At 42.3% G+C, this 22303-nt stretch overlaps 1 protein-coding gene across 4 annotated transcripts in view; it reads left to right on the top strand.

The window, feature by feature from the left end:
- MC2R (melanocortin 2 receptor) overlaps nt 3866-22303 on the top strand; it is a 33664-nt gene continuing 15226 nt past the window's right edge. For 3 of the 4 annotated variants that reach the window (NM_000529.2, XM_017025781.2, XM_047437537.1), the window contains exon 1: nt 4037-4085. The gene's annotated coding sequence lies outside the window, so the exon portion shown is untranslated. Of the gene's footprint in view, nt 3944-4036; nt 4086-22303 lie in introns of those variants that run through there. The other variant, NM_001291911.1, reaches the window with a different exon arrangement.

Below are 22303 nucleotides of genomic sequence, written 5' to 3'. Positions count from 1 at the left end.
ATCTCAAGGAGAGTCTTACTGAGCACCAGCTCTGTGCCAATCGTTACTGTGGGGCTTTTTGTGCAAGTGGAGGTGTTCTACAAATGGATTTCAAAATATTTCCTTGAAGACTGAAAAGTGGGCCCAAATGGGAAATGTAGACTGGAAATGTGCTTCCTTTGGCTTTATGGGTGGGAGGTACATTTGAGTCCTTGGCTGGTCCTCTTTAGGCTGGGTGGCATGGCTTTAGTGAGCCCTGTCAGTCATGCTCATATGTCAAATACACTCTCCTAATTCACTGGGGTAGCTCAGATATTGGAGCAGTTACACAATTGTTTATATATCAGACTAAAATAAGATTGCCTCGTACTTCCGTGAGAAAATATGCAATCAAGAGGCAGGCCCTCATCTTCCCTCCACCAGGCTATGGCCTCCCTACAGCTGTGCCTGCTGTCTCGCCATTCTGGCCAAGGTCACCCTCTCCTCTAGTGCTCAGGATCCGCCCCCTGCCTGCTCAGGAATGTGTGTCCATCTCCGCTGCACTGTGACCTGTTGACCGAGCCCACGCTTTCTGCTGGATACTCTCATCCACAAACAAGTTACCTACCCACGAGGTCTTTTCCAAAAAGGCAGGCCCCACTCACTCCCTATCCACTCCCCCTCCACACCTTCTCACATCAAAATACTCCCTATGCACTCCCCCTCCACACCTTCTCACATCAAAACTTCTGAAAGCCCTCGCCATGTCTTCATCTCACTTCTATGTAGAATAATTAAAAAGTCGAATCCTTAGGAAGAGAGGAGAAGGGTGGCTGCCAGGGCCTGGGGTGGGGTCCTGGGGCAATGCTGGTCAAAGGCCATGAAGTTTCAGGGTTACAGGAGGAGTAAGTTCTGCAGGCCCGAGGTACAGCATGGTGACTGTAGCTAATCATGTGTTGTATGCTTGAAATGTGCAAAGAGAAGGGCAGGGGATGGTGGCTCACGCCTGTAATCCCAGCACTTTGGGAGGCCGAGGTGGGTGGATTGCCTAAGCTCAGGAGTTCGAGATCAGCCTGGGAAACACAGTGAAACCCCATCTCTACTAAAACATAAAAACTTAGCCGGGCATGGCGGCGTGCGCCTGTAGTCCCAGCTACTTGAGAGGCTGAGGCAGGAGAATTGCTTATACCTGGGAGGCAGAGGTTGCAGTGAGCCAAGATGGTGCCACTGCACTCCAGCCTGGGCAACAGAGGGAGAGCCCATCTCAAACACAAAACAAAACAAAACAAAAGAAAAAGAAAAAGAAAAGGAAATGTGCAAAGAGAGCAGATCTGAAGTGTTCTCACCACACACACAGAAAGGCAACTGCAGGCCGATGGGTATGTTCAGTAGATTGGCTGCAGTCAGCAGTCCACTGTGAGTATACACACAAAACATCATATACACCTTAAATATATACAATATTTATTTAAAATTTAAATGTAAATGTTTCATAAGAGCTTGTCCATGCTTGCTGTCTCCTCTCCTCACTTCCCATTTCCTCCTCAAGCAGCTCCCACCAGGCACCCACCTCTACCACTGTCCCGTCTCCCCTCTGGCCCCTACAACCCGTGGAGAGGATCCTTTAAAGCCTGAATCAGGTCATGTCATCCTAGTCCTGACTCCTCATCGTTCTTACAGGAAAGTCTTAAGTGCTATCATGGCCTCTGTAGAGCCACTGAACTTCTCAGATCCCCATCTATAAATGGGGTCTGTAAGGTGACTTCACACATGTGCTGAGAAGATTAAATGTCGAGATATGTACAGCACTGAGAACATTCATCATGGCTGGCACATAGGAAACCCACTGTGGATTCTTACCATTGCTTCCACTGCAGATTTCAGCAAAGACATTTGTGAGTTACCTTCCAACCCCAGCATTTTCTATGTCAGAATGGGGCAGTCCTGCAAACACAAAAGACAGATCCCCGGCCCTGTCTCTTCTTCCTGTCCCCTTCTGTTTCCCCATTGCATCTCCTTTCCCCTTGCTCTGCCTCCCAAGCCTCCCCCACCCTCTCACTCTTTCTCTCTCTCTGCCTCTTTAGCTTTTCCATGAGAGGGACAAGCACTGGGGAGGAAGTTGTATTTGTGAAAGTGACCGAGTTGTATACGATTGTGTGAGAAGAGAAGAAAGGGTGCATACAGAAGCCCTTTGAATGCTCCCTAAAATTCCCCTTTTCCATCGTATCTCTTGGGATGAGAGAGAGACTGGGCTGGTGACGGAATGGTGGCGCAGTTGTAACATGGTCATCAGAGTTCATCTACCAGCATCTCCACTTACAAGTTTGCTTTCCAATGATCACCAGCTGAATGGGTTTCCCTACAGCAAAGATATTTCTTTTAAAATACCACTATTTCAAGAGTGTTTGGACAGGGTTATAACAAAAACCATAGGTATTGGCATATGGTTTTAGATTTCCCTGAGCACTGTTACAAACCTAGTCTGAATTCTCACAACAGCCCGCTTTACACCAGGCAATGGAGTCCTAGAGGCCTGGCACTCAGAACTCTGACCGCGTGTCTTCTGGTTCTAAACTCTGTCATTTCTACTCTGCTCCTTCCAAGAGATTTTTGCCCCCTTTTCTCTAAAAATTGGAGAGAGATGAGCCCCCAAAATGGAAGAACTAAAATAGCAATAGCTACTCTCTTTGCAGGGCTTAGCCAAACCCCTAGGCAACCTTCCCCCTGCTGGAAGTCTCTCCCTGTCCCTCCCAATCAGAGTGGCCCAGGTCCCACCCAGGGGACTGGCCGAGGCTCGCCTCCTCCAGACAGTGTTCCCATTGTCTGCAGCCTGCCTGATGTCCCACTCCCCAGGGCTGGCCACCGGTTTTCCCAATCAGCTAATCAGATCCACAGATCTCTGACAAAGGGCCTCTGCTTCTGCAAGTACAAGGGCTAAGGACGAGTTGTCTCTACTTTTCCAGATAATACAGTAGCTTTCTGGAGGCAATGCCTTGCTTTTCTCTGTTATCTCAACTACATGACTGAAGAGGGAAAGAGGCCTGTGGAACGCCGGGTTTCAGCTGCAGGGCATGTTGCGGAGGCACACACCTACTCAGAAACAGTCGAAGTCTGGGATGATCCTGGGTCCATGAGTTCCTGGGGACAACACGCTTTGCCTCAGTGACAGGCCAGGAAAAGCCACTTTATAAAATTGTGTTTACCCGCCTGGCAAATTCAACTCAGGTCTCTCTCTTTGGTCTTTTCCAGACCACCCACGTGTGAACACTTTTTAGCTTGGGGCGGAAGCTCACATTTCAGAAACAGCCACTGGTTTGGCCCCAGCCCCAAAAACCCAGGACCATCTGGAAACTTGGCCCAATTCCACACTTCAACATTCCTGTTGCTGTGACTGACACCAACAGTAGCCCTTCCCTGCAGGCCCCGGCAGGCAGAAAACACACAGCATTGCACCCTAAAATGGAAGAATTTTGCTTTGAATGATGGCTCTTATCTATGGCGGTTTCTGTGAAGTTTTTGGACGGAGAAGCATTGGCAGAACACAGGGTTTTTTTCTTGTCTGGACCCATGCGTCATATGTGCACTTGAGCACACAGTTCCCTCACTCTCATTGTTTAGTCTTGTGAAATAGGGATAATGGGGCTATTCCCTTCTTCTTAATGAAACTAATGAGCCAAATATTTGCAAGATATATCAAGAAGTTTGCTAGAAGTTTTAAAACAAATTCTTCCAAAACCATTTTCTCAAAAACCTGATTTATTTAATTCCTTAGTTCTTTTTGGAAATAAATGCAACTCTAAAGTGGCATTTAAAAAGAGCAAGATGACAATTCCATAATCTGCTAGAAACATTGTCATAAACATTGGAAGTAACCTTGACTAGCTGAGCTCATGGAAATTATGTCTTCATCTGCCTGTGTCTTTCCATTTCTCTAACTTCACATTACCAGAAATGCACAGTTCATGTGGGATGACATTTATTCAAGGTAATGATAACAATCTAGCTGTATCTCCGGTGATGCATGTGTTCCGGCCCTTCCCGGCCCAAGGTCCACTTGCTTGCTTTTCTCTCCGAGCTCATTCCTTCTCATTCATTTTGCCCAGAAAGTTCCTGCTTCAGAGCTGAAGGTAAGTACATTTTCCACTAATTCCTCAGCTTGCTAAGTGCTTTTGGACCATGAATAGAGCAGCTAGGAACAAATCTGAGAAGAGGTACTATTCAGAATTCCTCCAAATAGCTCATCTTTTTAATTATGGGCTTTCATCCTTCCTAAGGGAGTTTATTATTTTTCTAATTAAACTACTACAATGAAGGCTATTACCTTTTTGTCTAGCTAAAACAATCTTCCCTATTAATGAATTTATTGGCTTCTCTAGTACTCTTCAAATTGTCATTGAGCTCTATTCAAGGACTACAGCCAGTTTTTTCCTAATAGAATTAGGGGTGAAACAAATCATGCTTCTATTATCACTTCTGGAGTTAGCCCCTTCACCTGATCAGCTTGTCTAGGTGTAAGAGTGCGGGGGTTTTAGCGCCACAAAGACGTGGGCATGCGGCAGCTTCCTGAACCTCAGGCATTGGTGTCTAAGCAACTCCACCATCCACACGTGTGACGTTACAGTTCTGGGAGATGCACGCACACTTTCTGTGCCTTTCTCAACCACTAGCTCAGTCAGCCTCCACCTTCCTAGGCAGCAACACGGGGTGCAGGATAAACAATAACTAAAAGCATACTGATTATCACATACTCCTGCAAAGTGTTTGCACCCAGAAAGCATGCAGTCACTGCCATCATGAGGGGCTCACACCTTCCTTTGGCTGGCTCTGTCGGGGGGCACATGTTACCTAGAAAAGAGGCCCAGGCATTCGATTAAACAGCTCTTCTTCATATTTCAGTTTGTCTAAGCTGCCTTCAGATAACTGTCCCCATTCTTCACTTACACACACACACTCATACACACACATATACACACATACACGTGCACACTTGTAAACATACATACATACATGCATGCAAAAAGTCCAAAAGGGATAGGAATGGGAAAGGGGTACAAAGGGGTCCAGAGAGTACAGCCTTGAGCAGATCAGAAGGAGGAGTGCTCCTCACATGCCCTCCCCACCCCATCCCCGGAGTGGGAGTGAAGCGGTGGTCACAGGCTCTGCTCACACATTCATGCCTAGATCAAGCTGTACCGAACCCTTATGTGCTGGGCCTTGTTGCAAGCCTAAGTCAGAGTGGAGCCTCCTGGAGCCCCGGCGCTGAGGACAGCGCACACTGAGACAACACTTCACACTAGCTCCCAGACAGGACACACACCCACAAAGAGCTGTGGGAGCAGGGAGACGGGAGCCCTCACCCTGCCTTTGGGACACCGCTTAGGCCGCGGCAGGGGTGGAGGAGGGCATGAACCAGGGTAATGGGGTAGATAAGCTCCAAAGCCATCCTGACTTCTCAGTGGATCCTGAATCTCTGGCAGAGGAGGTTTTTGCTCAGCAGCAAATTGCCCTCTCACTGCCTCAGAGCAACTTAAGACATCTTAAAAAAAAAAAAAAATCCTATTCTTTACCTTGTTAATGATCCCAGGTATGTTTCCTATGGAATCCTTAGTGTCTAATACATTTTAATGAGAGCTTTCTTGTCTGTGTAAGCCACATTCCTTGCCTTCATTAGGCAAATATAATTGCTGTGGGCCAGGTTGTCTGCAGGGCTCAGCCTCAGACATGGTCAGGGCAGGTCTTATCCTAAGGAACTCAGATCCATCTGCAGGGTTTTCATGTGAATAATGCCGTTGTAGAAATAAGAACAAACAGCTACAGGTGCATAGACGGGCAGCAATCCTGGGCTCCCTTGGGATGCGGGGGCAGTGGAAGAGAGTCTGTACTTGGGCAAGGACACAGTGCTGAGTGTGAGAAGTGAGGAAGGACGTGTCCAGGCCCAGGGAGAGAGAACGTGTGAACAGACAGGCAAGCGCTGGTGCAGACCCACCCAGTGGGCCTTAAAGTGTGGTGGAGTCCTAAAGTCTTAACTTCTCTGTTCTCTGACTATGAGCCGCCAGGGTACAAAATTTGGAAGATGGTTTTAAAGTAAGTTCTCAACTCAAAATATGCGTGTGCCAAGCGCTGTGCTAGCAGCATGGGTAACGCACAGAGCCTGACTTGGTGGGAGAACAACATGTGCAAACTACAGAGACTAATCAACCTAGTAGGTGTCCCAGCATCAAAACCTGGGGGCAGCAAGCGTTTGTGTGAGCAGCACAGCCGTGGCAGGGAAAGGTCCGAGTGGGTCACACTGGCAGGAAGGCACCGTGGAGGAAGCCTGCCATGAGCAGTGAAGCTCAGAGGACGGGAGATGTGAGCGGGTGGAAGGTGGTGGTCCAGGTGAGGCTGTGCAGGGAGCTGAGCATCACACTGATTTCCAACCAGAACACTCCAGCCTGGGCTTCATGCCTCCCTAGCTGTGAGCTCCTGCAAAAGCTTCCATTCTCGGGACTTTCCTTCGCTCGTCCTAAGATGTGATCACATTGTCATTCATGCCTAATTTCCAGTCTTGTGTATATTAAAAAAGAAATTATACTGTAAGCAGCAGTTCTCTGTGAAGTGTCGGAAAAGCTGTAAACCTGCCCAGCGGCCTGCAAGATGATCACACCGAGAGATGCTTCTGCCTGTGCCCGGCATGGGGAAAAAGAATAAAGCCACCCCCAAAATAAGGCTCCCTTGAAGGCCTCTCATAATTGAGCCTATGCGGAATTCAAAACAAGATGTGCGCTGGATTCAGATGAGCCATTGCCTACCATAGCGAGCTCTGCTGGCTGCAGCCAGTCTTCACAGTGATAAGCGTAACTTATAACTCTGTAAGATCAACATCAGTAAGTTCAAGGAAAACTGACTTCAGCTGGAGACAGTGACTGGGCCCTAGCAAAGCAGTTGGGATGGTCCGGGAGCAGAAAACAACGTAGAAATTCATCTGTCCTTGAATTTTTCCTATTTCAACAGAGTATTGATTAATTGATTAATAATAATCTACAAGTTTTATTATGGTGCTATGTTGTTATTTTGTTTTATTTAGCACCAAAACAGCCTCAGAGTCCTGAGCCCCTCAGTTCCCAGCTCCTCCCACAGCTCTTGGCCCAACCTGACCCGGTCCTCCTACCCATACCTGTTTCAGAGCTAGGCTTGTCCTGCTTCCAAACACTCAGCCTCTCAGGCTCTTTGGAATAACCAAGCGAGCACAGACCTTGGAATGAGGCAGATTCGCAGCTGGGTGACCTTAAGCAAGTAACCCAACCTCCCTGAGCCTCCGTTTTCTTATCTATAATATAGGCAGGGGAGCAGGAAATAGGAACACCTACCCTTTATGTGTAACTGGAGCATTAAGAGAGAATACCTTTCACTCTGCCCTGTCTCCAACCTTTAACATTGCAAGAGAAACCATGGCAAAATCAAATTGCCCTTAAAGTGCAGAATTGTAAGGATGTGCTGAGGTATCCTGGAATCTGCTGTTTTACCTGGTTGAGTATTAAGTAAAATTGCTGAACATGCATTGTGGGCCCAACACAGTACAGAATGAATTACCTAAAGCACTCGTAAGTGAAGCCAATTCTTTTCCATGCCATCCACACCATGGAGCAGTTCTGACCCCAATTTGCAAGTGACCAAAGGCTCACCTGTCCTCTTTCTCAGCTGTGCATGTCTTACCTCCTCAGCTAGATGTTCATAGGCAGTACGGTGTTTCCTGTATCTTTTGGATTTCCAATGACATATAACCTAAAATTGGATCCTAGAGGTGCTAAAAACTGCCAATTCTTTAAGTGATTACTTGGATTAAAGCCCCCAAAAGATCTTAAATCTTTCTTCCTCCTGCCCTCCTCATATGCCCCAATCTCCTTTTTCCCAGTTAACATCCCCCAGACCCTAGGATGGAGACCCTGTCATAGATGGCGCAAAGCCAGTGACTCCAGAGCAAGGTCCAGAAGCCAAAGCTACCCGCTGCACTCATGGTGGCCCTGGGGTCTGATTGGGCTGGACTCGGCCACTTTTTAAAGGTGGGGCGAATAGGAGCTAGGTAAGGCAGAGAAGTCTTCCAGGCACTCGTCCAAAGATACCCAGCAAATTTTAAAGCCTTCATCTGGGAGAAAAAGCAGATCTTTACTGACATCCTTTTATTTCATGGCATTTGTTTGGCTAACTAAACCAGTTATAAACTAGTTTATGCTTTTTCAAAAGAGGAAATTTTGAGCCATTTCAGAGATGAGAATGAAAATGGGACTGTGCAGGGAAGAATTTAGTACTAGTTTTTAAGGTAAAACAAGGACTTGATGGAGTTTCTTTATCTAATAAAAAGGGAGCTCCAGGAGAGGCTGCAGGCTGCCTGGGTTGCTCCCTGACACTCCGGCCCCTGCTCTCGGCTGCCCGGCCCTCAGCTCCTCTCCTGTCCCTGTGTCCTTTGGCCCCTAGTCCCTGCTACTGTTACTGGCCTCCTTGCTCTAGCAATCACCGCAGCTCTGGGGTTTTGCTGCTTCGCACTCTCACCTAAGGCAACTGCACCTGCCTGTGTTCCCTGCTGAGCCACGCTGACTGCTTTTTATAAATCATAAATCATGGGATTAAGTGAGCCAATGTCAACCTGGTCTCAGGTGTAAAAGATAAGAATTCAAAAAGGAAGCATTTTCTGGGGATGATGCTTTCACCCATGATGGGGTGGTGACTGGTGTTGGTTTTGTAGGAGAGACACTGGGACACAGGGGCATCTGCCAGCTCCCCCACTGTGGTTGGCATGATTTGGGGCAAACACTGTTGTGATGAGAAGTAGATGGATTGAGAGATTCCAAGCTGCCTCTCTATCCTCCAGATGCCTGGTGCCCTGAAGGGAGCCCTAGTGCTGAGTGTAACTGGAGCAGCCTCAGCCCAGCCAGGACTAGACCAGGGACCAGCAGCCCCTGGTCAGGGAACCTTCTGGCAGCAGCTGTCTCTCCTCCAGGCAGGCTGCAGGAAGCTGTACAAGCTCCCCCTCAGGCACTTTGTAGTATATGTTTTAAATACCAAAATCAGAAAACTTGCAAAACAGCAAGAAACACACTTTTTTAATCTTCTCCACTTGATCAACAGAGTCAACACAATCCCTGTCAAAAGTCCAGAAAGCTATTTTGAAGATGTCAATAAACTTATTCCAGAATTTCTGTGGAAAAGCAGATGAGCTTGAAGAGCCAACAAAACAGTGAAAAAGAACAACAAAGTCAGAGGACTGTCACTCCTTACTTCACAGTAAGTCTGAGTAACTCTCAGACTTACTCTAAAGCCAGTAATCAAGACAGTGTGTTCTTAGCAAAAGAACAGACAAATAGATCAATGAAACAGTAAGGACCACACAAATACAGGCCCACACAAATATAGCCAGGTGATTTCAACAAAGGCACAAAAGCAATTCAATGGGAAAAGGGTAGACTTTTCAACAAACAGTGCTGGAACAATTGGACGTTCATATGAGGAAAAAATTATTTTAAACATAGATCTTATTCCTTACAGAAAAAACTTAACGCCAAATGATCATAGACCTAAATGAAAATTACAAAACTTACAACTTCTAAAAGAAAACATAGAAGAAAATCTCCATGACACTGGATTTGGTGTTTTTAGATATAACATGAAAAGCATCATCCATGAAAGAAAAAATAAATAATAGACTTTATTAAAATTTAAATGGCACCCCAGTAGCAACAAGTACATTGAGCACTCTGATCTTGGTTTCTAATACCATTCTGCACTGGAAGAAATCAGGGATCCCTGGGGGAAGTGGCTTATTCTATGACTATGTCAGGAAATAACAAGTTGAGCCTGGAACATCTTGCAGTGCCAGAGAGTAAATAAGTGTTCCAGAAAGCCACAGCGATGCAGGTCTGGCACAGGACACAGGTGCCAACTGAGAGAGCTCCCAGTGGCCAAAGTTGGAACAATTTAAGCAATAAAACAAATCAAATAGCATTGGATTATAATCTAAAGTATAAAATAGTTGTCCATGCATTCATACTGATAGAAACATAGGATTGAATAAATAAATAAATAGGGAAGGATAGGCTAATCTCCCATGCAGAAGAACTCCAAATGGATTATGTAGACACTCCACCCTCAAGGAGGTGGGGCAGAACTCTCTGCTCTGTATGTGAGGGCTATGCATTCTGACTTCCTTCCAAAGAATCCATTATGGAAACAGTGTGCAGGAAACACTAACTGCAGTGGGGAAACCCGGCAAGCATGAACTCAGCCAGGTGACCATGGTTAGCACCAGTCATGAGTCACCTTGATAGCGTGTCCCTTGATGTGATGTAATGAGAATGATAGTTTACATCTTGTGGTCTTCCTCCCGCAAGGTCCATAACCCCAGTCTAATCATGAGAAAAATGTCACACAATTGTGGCAATTCTACAAAATGTTTGAGCAGTACTCCTTAAAAATTTCAAGGTCATCAAAAGCAAGGGAAGTCTGAGAAAATGTCACAACCAAGAGAAGCCTAAGGAGACATGATGGCTAAAGGTAATAATACCATGTCCTGGATGAGACCCAGAGACACAAAAGGACATTAGGTTAAAATTAAGGACATTTGAATAAAGCATGGACTTTAGTTAATAACAGTGTGTCAATATTGGTCCACTAGTTGCGATAAATGCACCATACTCAGGTAAGATGTTAACATGATGTAAGATGCTAAACTGGGTGTGAGGTTTGTGGGGACTCTACTATCTTTGCAACTTTTCCATAAATTTAAAACTGTTCTAAAATAAAACGTTTATTTAAAAAATAGCTCATAGCTCTACCACCCAGTGATAACCACCATTAAAATTTGATGTCATGGATTTTTCTATGCCTTTGCTTGAAATACACACACACACACACACACACACACACACACACACAAGAAGCTCCTGCACCGTTGAACTGCAATTTTATAAACTGGTATATGTATGTAGTTTTAATAGCTGTATGTAGTTTCAGGGTACATGTGATAATTTGATACATTCATATAATTTGTAAAGACCAAAACAGTGTACTTAGGATATCTATCACCCTAAAGTCTCTTCTTTATGCTAGAACCATTGAAATTCTTCTCTTCTAGCCATTTTGGAATGTACAATAGATTATTGTAAACTATAGTCACCCTACTGATTTATTAAACACTAGCTCTTATTTCTTCTATCAAACCATGTATTTGTACCCATTAGTCAATTTCTCTTCATCTCCCTCTCCCCTCTACCCTTCCTGGGCTCTTGTAACCACCACTATCTGTCTTCATGAGATTTACTTTTTTAGCTCCCACATGTGAGTGAGAACAAGGGACATTTGTCTTTCTGTGCTTGCTTTATTTCACTTAACATAATGGCCTCCAGTTCCACTCATGTTTCTGCAAATGACAAGATTTCATTCTTTATGGTTGAATAATATTTCATTATGTTTATATACCACATTTTATTCATTCATTCACTGATGGACACTTAGGTCGAGTCCATATTTTGGCTTTCGTGAATAATGCTGCAATAAACATGGTAGTACAGATATCTCTTTGATGTGCTGATCTCTTTTCTTTTCAATATATACCCAGTAGTGGGATTGCTGGATCATATGGCAGCTCTATTTTTAGTGTTTTGAGTCACCTCCAAACTGTTCTCCACAGTGGCTATAGTAGTTGACCTTCCCACCAACAGTGTACGGGGGTTCCTCTTTCTCCACATCCTCACCAGCATCCGATATCGCCCGTTTTTGGATATAAGCCATTTTAACTGGGGTGAGATTATATCTCATTGTAGCTTTGATTTTCATTTCTCTGATGATTAGTGATGCTTTGAAATTTTTCATATACCTGTTTGGCCATTTGTATGTCTTATTTTGAGCAAAGTCTGTGCAGATATTTTGCCCATTTTTAAATTGGATTATTTGTTGGTTTTCTTTTGCTGCTAAGTTGTTTGAGCTCCTTATGTAATCTGGTTATTAATCTCTTGCTGGATGGAGAGTTTGCAAATATTTTCTCCCATTCTGTGAGTTGTCTCTTCACTTTGTTGATTGTTTTCCTTGCTGTGCAGAAGCTTTCTATCTTGGTATGGTTCCACCTGCCTGATTTTGCTTTTGTTGCTTATGCTTTTGAGATCTTACTCCAAAAATCTTTGCAGAGACCAGTGTCTTGAAGCATTTCCACAATGTTTTCTTCAAGTAGTTTCATAGTTTCGGGTCTTAGATTTAAGTCTTTAATCCATCTTGATTTGATTTTTGTGTCTGGTGAGAGATAGAGGCCTAGTTTCATTCCTCTGCATATGGATATCCAGTTTTCCCAGCACCATTTACTGAAAAAACTGTCCTTTCCCCATTGTATGTTCTTGGCACCTTTGTCGAAGGTGAGTCGACTGCAAATGCATGGATTTATAGCTGGGTTATTTATTCTCTTCCATTTATCTGTGTAACTGTTTTTATGCTGATGCCGTGCTGATGTTGTTACTACGTGTTTGTAGTAAATTTGGAAGTCAGGTACTGTGATTCCTCCAACTTTGCTCTTTTTGCTCCAGACTGCTTTAGCTATTCAGGGTCTTTTGCAATTCCACATAAATTTTAGATTTTTTTCTATCTTTACAAAGAATGTCATTGGTATTTTGATTGGAATTGCATTGAATCTGTAAATTGCTTTGGGTAGTATGGAAATTTTAACAATATTAATTATTCCAACCCATGAGCATAGAATATTGTTCTGTTTTATGGTGTCCTCTTCAACTTCTTTCATCAGTGTTTTATAGTTTTCATAGAGATCTTTCACTTCTTTGGTTGATTTCAAAGTATTTAATTTTATTTGAGGCTATTGTAAATGGGATTACTTTTTCATTTCTTTTTTAGATTGTTCACTGTTGTTGTATATAAGTGTTACTAATTTTTGTATGTTGATTTTGTATTCTGCAACTTTACTGAATTTGTTTGTCAGCTCTCACAGTTTTCTGGTGGAGTCTAAGTTTTTCTAAGTATAACATCATGTCATCTGCAAACAAGGCTAATTTGACTTCTTCTTTTCTTTTTTTTTCTTTATTTCTTCTAAGAAACAAAAATGGGATACATGTGCAGAACGTGCAGGTTTGTTACATAGGTATACATGTACCATGGTGGCTTGCTGCACCTATTGACCCGTCCTCTAAGTTCCCTCCCCTCACCTCCCACCCCCCAACAGGCCCTGGTGTGTGTTGTTCACCTCTCTGTGCCCATGTGTTCTCATTGTTCAACTCCCACTTATGAGTGAGAACATGCAGTGTTTGGTTTTCTGTTCCTGTGTTAATTTGCTGAGGATGATGGCTTCCAGCTTTATCCATGTCCCTGCAAAGGACACGATCTGATTCCTTTTTATGGCTGCATAGTATTCCATGATGTATGTGTACCATATTTTCTTTATCCAGTCTATCATTGATGGACATTTGGGTTGGTACCATGTCTTTGCTATTGTAAATAGTGCTGCAATAAACATACGTGTGCATGTGTCTTTATAGTAGAATGATTTATATATTTTTTTCTTTTTTCTTTTTTGAGATGGGGTCTTACTCTGTCACCAGGGTGGAGTGCAATGGCACAATCTCAGCTCACTGCAACCTCCGCCTCTAAGATCTGGAACAAGACAAGGATTCAAGCAATTCTCCTGCCTCAGCTCTCTGAGTAGCTGGGACTACAGGTGTGCGTCATCATGCCCAGCTAATTTTTGTATTTTTAGTAGAGACGGGGTTTCACCATGTTGGCCAGGATGGTCTCGATCTCTTGGCATCGTGATCCACCCACCTCGGCCTTCCAAAGTGCTGGGATTACAGGCGTGAACCATCGCACCTGGCCAGAATAATTTATATTTCTTTGGGTATATACCCAGTAATGGGATTGCTGGGTCAAATGGTATTTCCAGTTCTAGATCCTTGAGGAATCACCATACTGTCTTTCACAATGGTTGAACTAATTTACACTCCCACCAACAGTGTAAAAGTGTTCCTATTTCTCCACAGCCTTGCCAGCATCTATTGTTTCCTGACTTTTTAATAATCGCCATTCTGACTGGCATGAGATGGTATCTCGTTGTGGTTTTGATTTGCATTTCTCTGATGATCAGTGATCTTGAGCTTTTTTTTTTTTTAGAGGGAGTCTCGCTCTGTTGCCAAGCTGGAGTGTAGTGGCACGATCACGGCTCAGTGCAACCTCTGCCTCCCGGATTCAAGCGATTCTTCTGCCTCAGCCACCTGAGTAGCTGGAACTACAGGCACACGCCACGAAGCCCAGCTAATTTTTGTATTTTTAGTAGAGACGGGGTTTCACCATGTTGGCCAGGATGGTAGCTTTTTTTCATTTGTTTGTTGGCCGCATAAATGTCTTCTTTTGAGAAGTGTCTGTTCATATACTTTGCCCACTTTTGGTGGGGTTGTTTTTTTCTTGTAAATGTGTTTAAGTTCCTTGTAAATTCTGGATATTAGATCTTTGTCAGATAGATAGATTGCAAAAAATTTATCCTATTCTGTAGGTTGCCTGTTCACACTGATGATAGTTTCTTTTGCTGTGCAGAAGCTCTTTAGTGTAATTAGATCCCATTTGTCAACTGTGGCTTTTGTTGCAATTGCTTTTGGCATTTTTGTCATGAAGTCATTGCCCATGCCTGTGTCCTGAATGGTATTGCCTAGGTTTTCTTCTAGTGTTTTTAAGGTTTTGGGTTTTACATTTAAGTATTTAATTCGTCTTGTATAAGGTATAAGGAAGGGGCCCGGTTTCAGTTTTTTTGCATATGGCTAGCCACTTTTCTCCCAGCACCATTTAATGGATAGGAGATCCTTTCCCCTTGCTTGTTTTTGTCGGGTTTGTCAAAGATCAGATGGTTGTAGATGTGTGGTGTTATTTCTGAGGTCTCTGTTCTGCTCCATTGGTCTATAAGTCTGTTTTGGTACCAGTACCATGGTACCGTTTTGGTTACTGTTTTGGTTACTGTACCTGTTTTGGTTACTGTAGCCTTGTAGTATAGTTTGAAATCAGGTAGCATGATACTTCCAGCTTTTTTCCTTTTTTTTCTCCTGTCTAATTGCTCTTGCCAGGACTTCCAGGATTATATTGAACGAAAGTGGTAAAAGTGGGCATCGTTGTCTTGTTCTAGATCTTAGAGGAAAGGCTTTCCATTTCTCCCCATTCAGTATGATGCTAGCTGTGAATTTGCCACATATGGCCTTTATTATGACTTTTTTTTTTTTTTTTTTTGAGACGGGGTCTTGCTCTGTCACCCAGGCTGGAGTGCAGTGGTGCTATCTCAGCTCACTGCAAACTCTGCCTCCCGGGTTCACGCCATTCTCCTGCCTCAGCCTCCGGAGTAGCTGGGACTAGAGGTGCCCACCACCTCGCCTGCCTAAGTTTTTTTTTTTTGTATTTTTAGTAGAGAAGGGATTTCACCATGTTAGCCAGGATGGTCTTGATCTCCTGACCTTGTGATCTGCCCATCTCTTCCTCCCAGACTGCTGGGATTACAGGCATGAGCCACCGTGCCTGGCCTATTATGATTTTTAAAACATTTTGAGTGGGTTTATTTCGTTGGAAGAAGAAACAGGGTGACTCAAAATACAAGCAGACATCTGTGGAAATGAAAAAAAAAATCTACAATTCTTAAAAACCTAAACTCTCTTTTAAGGATGTTATCATATAGAGATCTAAGAAACAGCACAGCTTTAAACATACCTCTAATAGAGATATTAAAACTGCATTTTCATCCTCCTGTTTTTTGTTGTTTTTTAAATTTTTCCTTTAAGGCTGCATTTTTTTATTTTAAAAAATGTACAATTAAGTTATTATTCACTATAGTCACCCTGTTGTACTATCAAATAGTAGATATTATTAATTATTTCTAACTATTTGTGTACCATTAACCATCCCCACCTCCCTCCAGAACCACCCCACACATACACTAACTTTCCAGCCTCTGGCAACCATCTTTCTACTCTCTATGCCCATGAGTTCAATTGTTTTGATTTTTAGATCCCATAAATAAGTGAGAACATGTGATGTTTGTCTTTCTGTTCCTGGCTTATTTCGCTTCCATCCATGTTGTTGCAAATGACAGGATCTCATTATTTTTATGGCTGTAAAGTACTCCATTTTGTATATGTACCATATTTTCTTTATCCATTCATCTGTTGATGAACACTTAGGTTGCTTCCAAATCTTAGCTATTGTAAACAGTGCTGCAACAACATAGGAGTGGAGATACCTCTTCAATATGCTGATTTCCTTCCCTTTGGGTATATATCCAACAGTAGGATTTCTGGATCATATGGTAACTCTATTTTTAATTTTTCAAGGAATCTCCAAACTGTTCTCCATAATGGTCATACTGATTTTCATTCTCACCAACAGTGTATGAGGGTTCCCTTTTCTCCACATCCTTACCAGCATTTGTTATTGCCTGTCTTTTGGATATAAACCATTTTAACTGGGGTAAGATGATATCTCATTGTAGTTTTGCATTGCATTACTCTAATGATCAATGATGTTGAGCACCTTTTCATATGCCTGTTTGCCATGTGTATGTCCTCTTTAGAGATACATCTATTCAAATCTTCTGCCCATTTTAAAAATCAGATTATTAGACTTTATCCTGTAGAGTTGTTTGAGCTCCTTATATATTCTGGTTATTAATCCCTTGTCAGATAGGTAGTTTGCAAATATTTTCTCTCATTCTATGGGCTGTCTCTTCACTTTGTGGGTTGTTTCCTTTGCTGTGCAGAAGATTTTTAACTTGATGTGGTCCCATTTGTCCATTTTTGTTTGGGTACCTGTGCTTGTCGGGTATTACTCAAGAAATTTTTGCCCAGACCAATGTCCTGGAGATTTCCCCCAATGTTTTATTGTATTAGTTTCATAGTTTGAGGTCTTATATTTAAGTCTTTAATCCATTTTTATTTGATTTTTGTGTATGGCATGAGATGGGGTCTAGTTTTGTTCTTCTGCATATGAATATCCAGTTTTACGAGCACCGTTTATTAAAGAGATTGTCTATCCCCCATTGCATGTTCTTGGCACCTTTGTCAAAAATGAGTTCACCATAGGTGTCCGGATCTGTTTCTGGGTTCTGTATTCTGTTTCATTGGTCTATGTGTCTGTTTTTATACCAGTACCATGCCTGTTTTGGTTACTACAGCTCTCTAGTATAATGTGAAGTCAGGTAATGTGATTCCTGCAGTTCTGTTATTTTTGCTTAGGGTAGCTTTGACTATTCTGAGTCTCTTGTGGTTCCATATAAATTTTAGGATTTTCTTTCTATTTTTGTGAAGATCATCCTTAATATTTTGATAGGGATTGCATGGCTGTGGGTATGTTGTGTATAGCTTTTATTATGTTGAGGTATGTTCCTTCTCTACCCAGTTTTTTTGATGGTTTTATTATAAAGAGATGTTGGATTTTACCAAACGCTTTTTCAGCATCATTGAAATTATCATATGGTTTTTGTCCTTCATTCCTTGATATGATATATCACATTGTATTTTGCATTGGTTGCATATGTTAAGCCATCCTTGCATCCTAGGGAAAAAATCCCACTTGGTCATGATGAATGATCTTTCCAATATATTGTTGAATTTGGTTTGCCAGTATTTGGCAGTGGGGCAGTCGGTGGGGGGGATGGATTTCTTCGTCAGAGATATTGGCCTATAGTTTTCTTTTTTTGATGTGTCTTTGTCTGTTTTTGGTGTCAGGGTAATACTGGTATTGTAGAATGAGTTTGGAAGTGTTCCTTCCTCCTCTATTTTTCAAAACAGTTTGAGTAGGATTGGTACTAGTTCTTCTTTAAATGTTCAGTAGAATTCAGCAGTGAAGCCATTAGGTCACAGGCTTTTCTTTACTGGGAGACTTTTTATTATGGCTTCAATCTTGCTATTTGTTATTGGTCTGTTCAGGTTTTGGATTTCTTCCTGGTTCAATCTTGTTAGGTTATATGTATCTGGGAATTTGTCAATTTCTTCTAGATGTTCCAATTTACAGGCATATAGTTACTCATAGTAGCCACTAATGATTTTTTGTGCATCAGTTGTAACGTCTCTTTTTTCATTTCCTATTTTATTTATTTATATCTTCTCTCTTTTTTTCTTAGTCTGGCTAAAGATTTGTCAGTTTTGTTTAACTTTTCAAAAAATCAACTATTTCTTTCTTTGATCCTTTGTATTGTTTTCTTCATTTCAATTTCATTTATTTCTGCTCTAATCTTTATTATTTCTTTTCTCTTACTACTTTTTGGTTTGGTTTGCTCTTGCTTTTCTAGTTTTTTTGAGATGCATCATTAAATTGTTTATTTGGAACATTCCCTCTTTTTTGATGTAGGCACTTATAGCTATAAATTTCCCTCTTAGTAGTGCTTTTGCTGTACCCCATAGGTTTGGGTATGTTGTATTTGCATTATCATTTGTTTCAATAAAATTTTTCAATTTATTTAATTTCTTCATTCACTGGTCATTCAGGAGCATATTGTTTAATTTCAATGTATTTGTATAGTTTCCATAATTCCTCCTGTTATTAACTTCTAGTTTTATTCCATTGTGGTCAGAGAAGATACTTGACATTATTTCAATTTTTTTGAATGTTTTAAGACTTGTTTTGTGACCTAACATATGGTCTGTCCTTGAGAATGATCCATGTGCTGAGAAAACGAATGTATATTCTGTAGCTATTGGATGAAATGTTTTGTAAATATCTATTAGGTTCATTTGGTATATACTGCAGGTTAAATCTGATGTTTCTTTGTTGATTTTCTGCCTTGAAGATCTGTCCAGTGCTGAAAGTGGTGTGTTGAAGTCTCCAGCTATTATTGTATTGGGGCCTGTCTCTCTCTTTAGTGCTAATAAATTTGCTTTATATAGCTAGGTGCTACAGTCTCAGGTGCATATATTTAAAATTGTTATATCCTCTTGCTAAATTGACACCTTTGTCATTATGTAGTGACCTTCTTTGTCTCTTACAGTTTTGTCTTGAAATTTATTTTGTCTGATGTAAGTATAGTTATTCCCGCTCTTTTTTGGTTTCCATTGGCATGGAATATCTTTTTCCCTCCCTTTATTTTCAGTCCATGTGTGTCTTTATAGGTGAAGTGTGTTTCTTGTAGGCAGCAGATCAATGGGTCATGTTTTTCATCCATTCAGCCATTCTGTGTCTTCTAATTGGAGAGTTTAGTCCATTTACATTCAATATTATTATTGATAAGTAAGGACTTACTCCTGCCATTTTGTTATTTGCTTTCTGGTGTTCTCTTCCTTCTTTTTTTCCTTCTTGTCTTCTTTTAGTAAAAGTGATGATTTTCTGCTGATATGATTTAGTTCCCTGCTTTTGGTTTTTTGTGTATCCATTGTATGTTTTTTGGTTTGAGGTTACCAAGAGGCTTGCAAATACTATCTTATAACCCATTATTTTAATCTGATAACAACTTAACATTGTTTGCATAAACAAACAAGCAAAACAAAAACTAACAAAAACTCGACACCTTAACTTCATCCCCCACTTTTTAACTTTCTGTTGTTTCTATACATATTTTTGTACTGTCCATATCTTGAAAATTTGTTGTAGTTATTATATTTTATTGATTGCTTAGTCTCTGTACTTAGGATAAGAGTAGTTCATACAGCACAGTTACAGTGTTATGATATTCTGTGCTTTTCTGTGTACTTAATGTTATTAGTGAGTTTTGTACCTTCAGGTGATTACTTATTGCTCATTAACATCCTTTTCTTTCTGATTGAAGTACTCCCTTTAGCATTTCTTGTAGAACAGTTCTAGTGTTGATGAACTCTCTTAGCTTTTGTTTGTCTGGGAAGGTTGTTATTTCTTCTTCATGTTTGAAGGGTATATTCACTGGATATACTATTCTCAGGTAAAAGTTTTTCCCTTCAGCACTTTAAATATACCATGCCACTCTCTCCTGGCCTGTAAAATTTCTGCTGAAAAGTTTGAGCCAGGTGTATTGAAACTCCACTGTTGTTTCTTTTCTCTTGCTGCTTTTAGGATCCTCTCTTTATCCTTGATCTATGAGAGTATGATTATTAAATGCCTTGAGGTAGTCTTATTTGGGTTAAATATGCTTGATGTTCTATAACCTTTTACTTCCATATTGGTATCTTTCTCTAGGTTTGGGGAGTTCTCTGTTATTATCCCTTCAAATAAATTTTCTACCCTTATCTCTTTCTCTATCTCCTCTTTAAGACCAATAACTCTTAGATTTGCTCTTTTGAGGCTATTTTCTACATCCTATAGGCATGCTTCATTTTTTTTATTCTTTTTTCTTTTGTCTCTTCTGACTGTGTATTTTCAAATAGGCTGTATTCATGCTCATTAATTCTTTCTTCTGCTTCATCAATTCTGCTATTAAAAGACTCTGACGCCTTCATCAGTATGCCACTTGCATTTTTTCAGCTCCAGAATTTCTGCGTGATTCTTTTTATTTCAATCTCTTTATTAAATTTATCTGATAGGATTCTGAATTCCTTCTCTGTTGTCTTGAATTTCTTTGAGTTTCTTCAATACAGGTGTTTTGAATTCTCTGTCTGAAAGGTCATATATCTCTTTTTCTCCAGAATTGGTGCCTTATTTAGTTATTTGGCAAGGTCATATTTTCCTGGATGATGGCAATGCTAGTTGATGTTCATCAGTGTCTAGTACTGAAGAGTCAGGTATTTACTGTAGTCTTCACTGGCTGGGCTTGTTTGTACCAGTCCTTGGGAAGGCTTTCCAGATATTTAAAAGAACTTGGGAGTTGTGATCTAAGCCTTACCTGCTTTAGGGGGCACTCCAAGCCCAGTAACACTGTGGTTCTTGCAGACTCATAGAGGTACCACCTTGATGGCCTTGGACAAGATCCAGGAGAATTATCTGGATTACCAAGTAGAGACTCTTGTTCTCGTCCCTTACTTTCTCCCAAACATACAGAGTCTCTCTCTCTCTTCTGAGCCACCTAAATCTGGGGGTGGAGTGACGCAAGCACCTCGTCACTACCACTGTGACTGGGCTGGGTCAGACCCAAAGCCAGCACAGCACTCAGTCTCACCCCAGGCCTGCTGTAACCACTCCCTGGCTACCGCCTGTGTTCACTCAAGGCCCTGGGGCTCTACAATCCGCAGGTGGAAAAGCCAGCCAGGCCTGTGTCTTTCCTTTCAGGGCAGGAAGTTCCCCCAGGTCCTGGTTAGGTTCAGAGGTGCTATCCAGGTGTCAGGGACTAGAGTGACAAACCTTAGAAGTCTACCTAGTGTTCTATTGTCTGTGGCTGAGCTGACACTCAAACCACAAGACACAGTCTTTCCCACTCACCCGTCTCTTTCCGAAAGGCAGAGGAGCCTTACCCTGTAACCAACATCACCAAAGGCCACAGGGAACACTGCCAGCCTACCACCGATGTTTCCTTGTTTGCAAGCGCTCTTCAGTCAGGTTGTGGTGAATGCTGCCTGCTCTGGGAATCACCCTTCAGGGCAGTGGGCTCACCTCTGGCCCAGGGCTGGTCCAGAAATGCTGTCCATTTGTCAATCCCTAGAATCGGGGACCCCAAGAGCCTGCTTGGTACTCTATTCCACAGTGGCTATGCTGGTACCTAAGGTGCAAGACAAAGTCCCCTGTACTTTTCCCTCAGCTTTTCTCAAGCAGAAGGAATCTCACCCCATAGCTACCACAGCTGGGAATGTGCTGGGTCTCACCTGAAGCCAGCAAGTCTCAGGCTCACCCAAGGCCTTCAGCGTAGTACCTGGGTATTGCTGGTTGTTGCTCAGGGCCTAAAGGCTCTTCAGGTAGCAGGTGATGAATGCTGCCAGAACTGGTTCCTTCCCTTCAAGGCAGCAAGTTCCCTTCTGGCCCAGGGTGTGTCTAGAAATGTTGTCCAGGATTTAGGGCCTGGAATGGAAGCCTCACAACTCTGACCAGTGCCCTATCTTGCTGTGGTTGAGCTGATATCCAAGATGCAAGACAAAGTCCTCCCTACTCTTCCTTCTCTTCTCCTCTCCTCAAGCAGAAGGAAGGGGTGTCTTTTGGAGCCATGAGCTGTGCAGCTTAGAGTTAGAGGAGAGGTGATGCCAGCACTCCCTTAGCCACCCCAGCTGGTATCTCAGTAGGTTGTGCGCCCCCCAAGTCCGCTGTCTCTGGGCCTAGTTCAGCGTTAGGACTCGCCTAAGAGTTACAGTCCTTGTGGTCTAGACTGCCTTTTCAAGTTTACTTAGAGACTGACAGCACTGTAGCTTTCTGTGGCAAGGTTTGCGGGAACTCAAGTTCCGACCATTGGGGTCAGCGATTCCCCCTGGCTAGGGCTGGTCTAAAGACTTGCTCCGTGGCTGGGTGTCAGCCGAGTGTAGTCTGGTTA

Source organism: Homo sapiens, chromosome 18 (assembly GCF_000001405.40).
Source record: "Homo sapiens chromosome 18, GRCh38.p14 Primary Assembly".
In the NCBI taxonomy this organism is placed as follows: domain Eukaryota; kingdom Metazoa; phylum Chordata; class Mammalia; order Primates; family Hominidae; genus Homo; species Homo sapiens.
The sequence above is the reverse complement of the archived record's forward strand: the minus strand, read 5'-3'. Positions and strand labels throughout refer to the sequence as shown.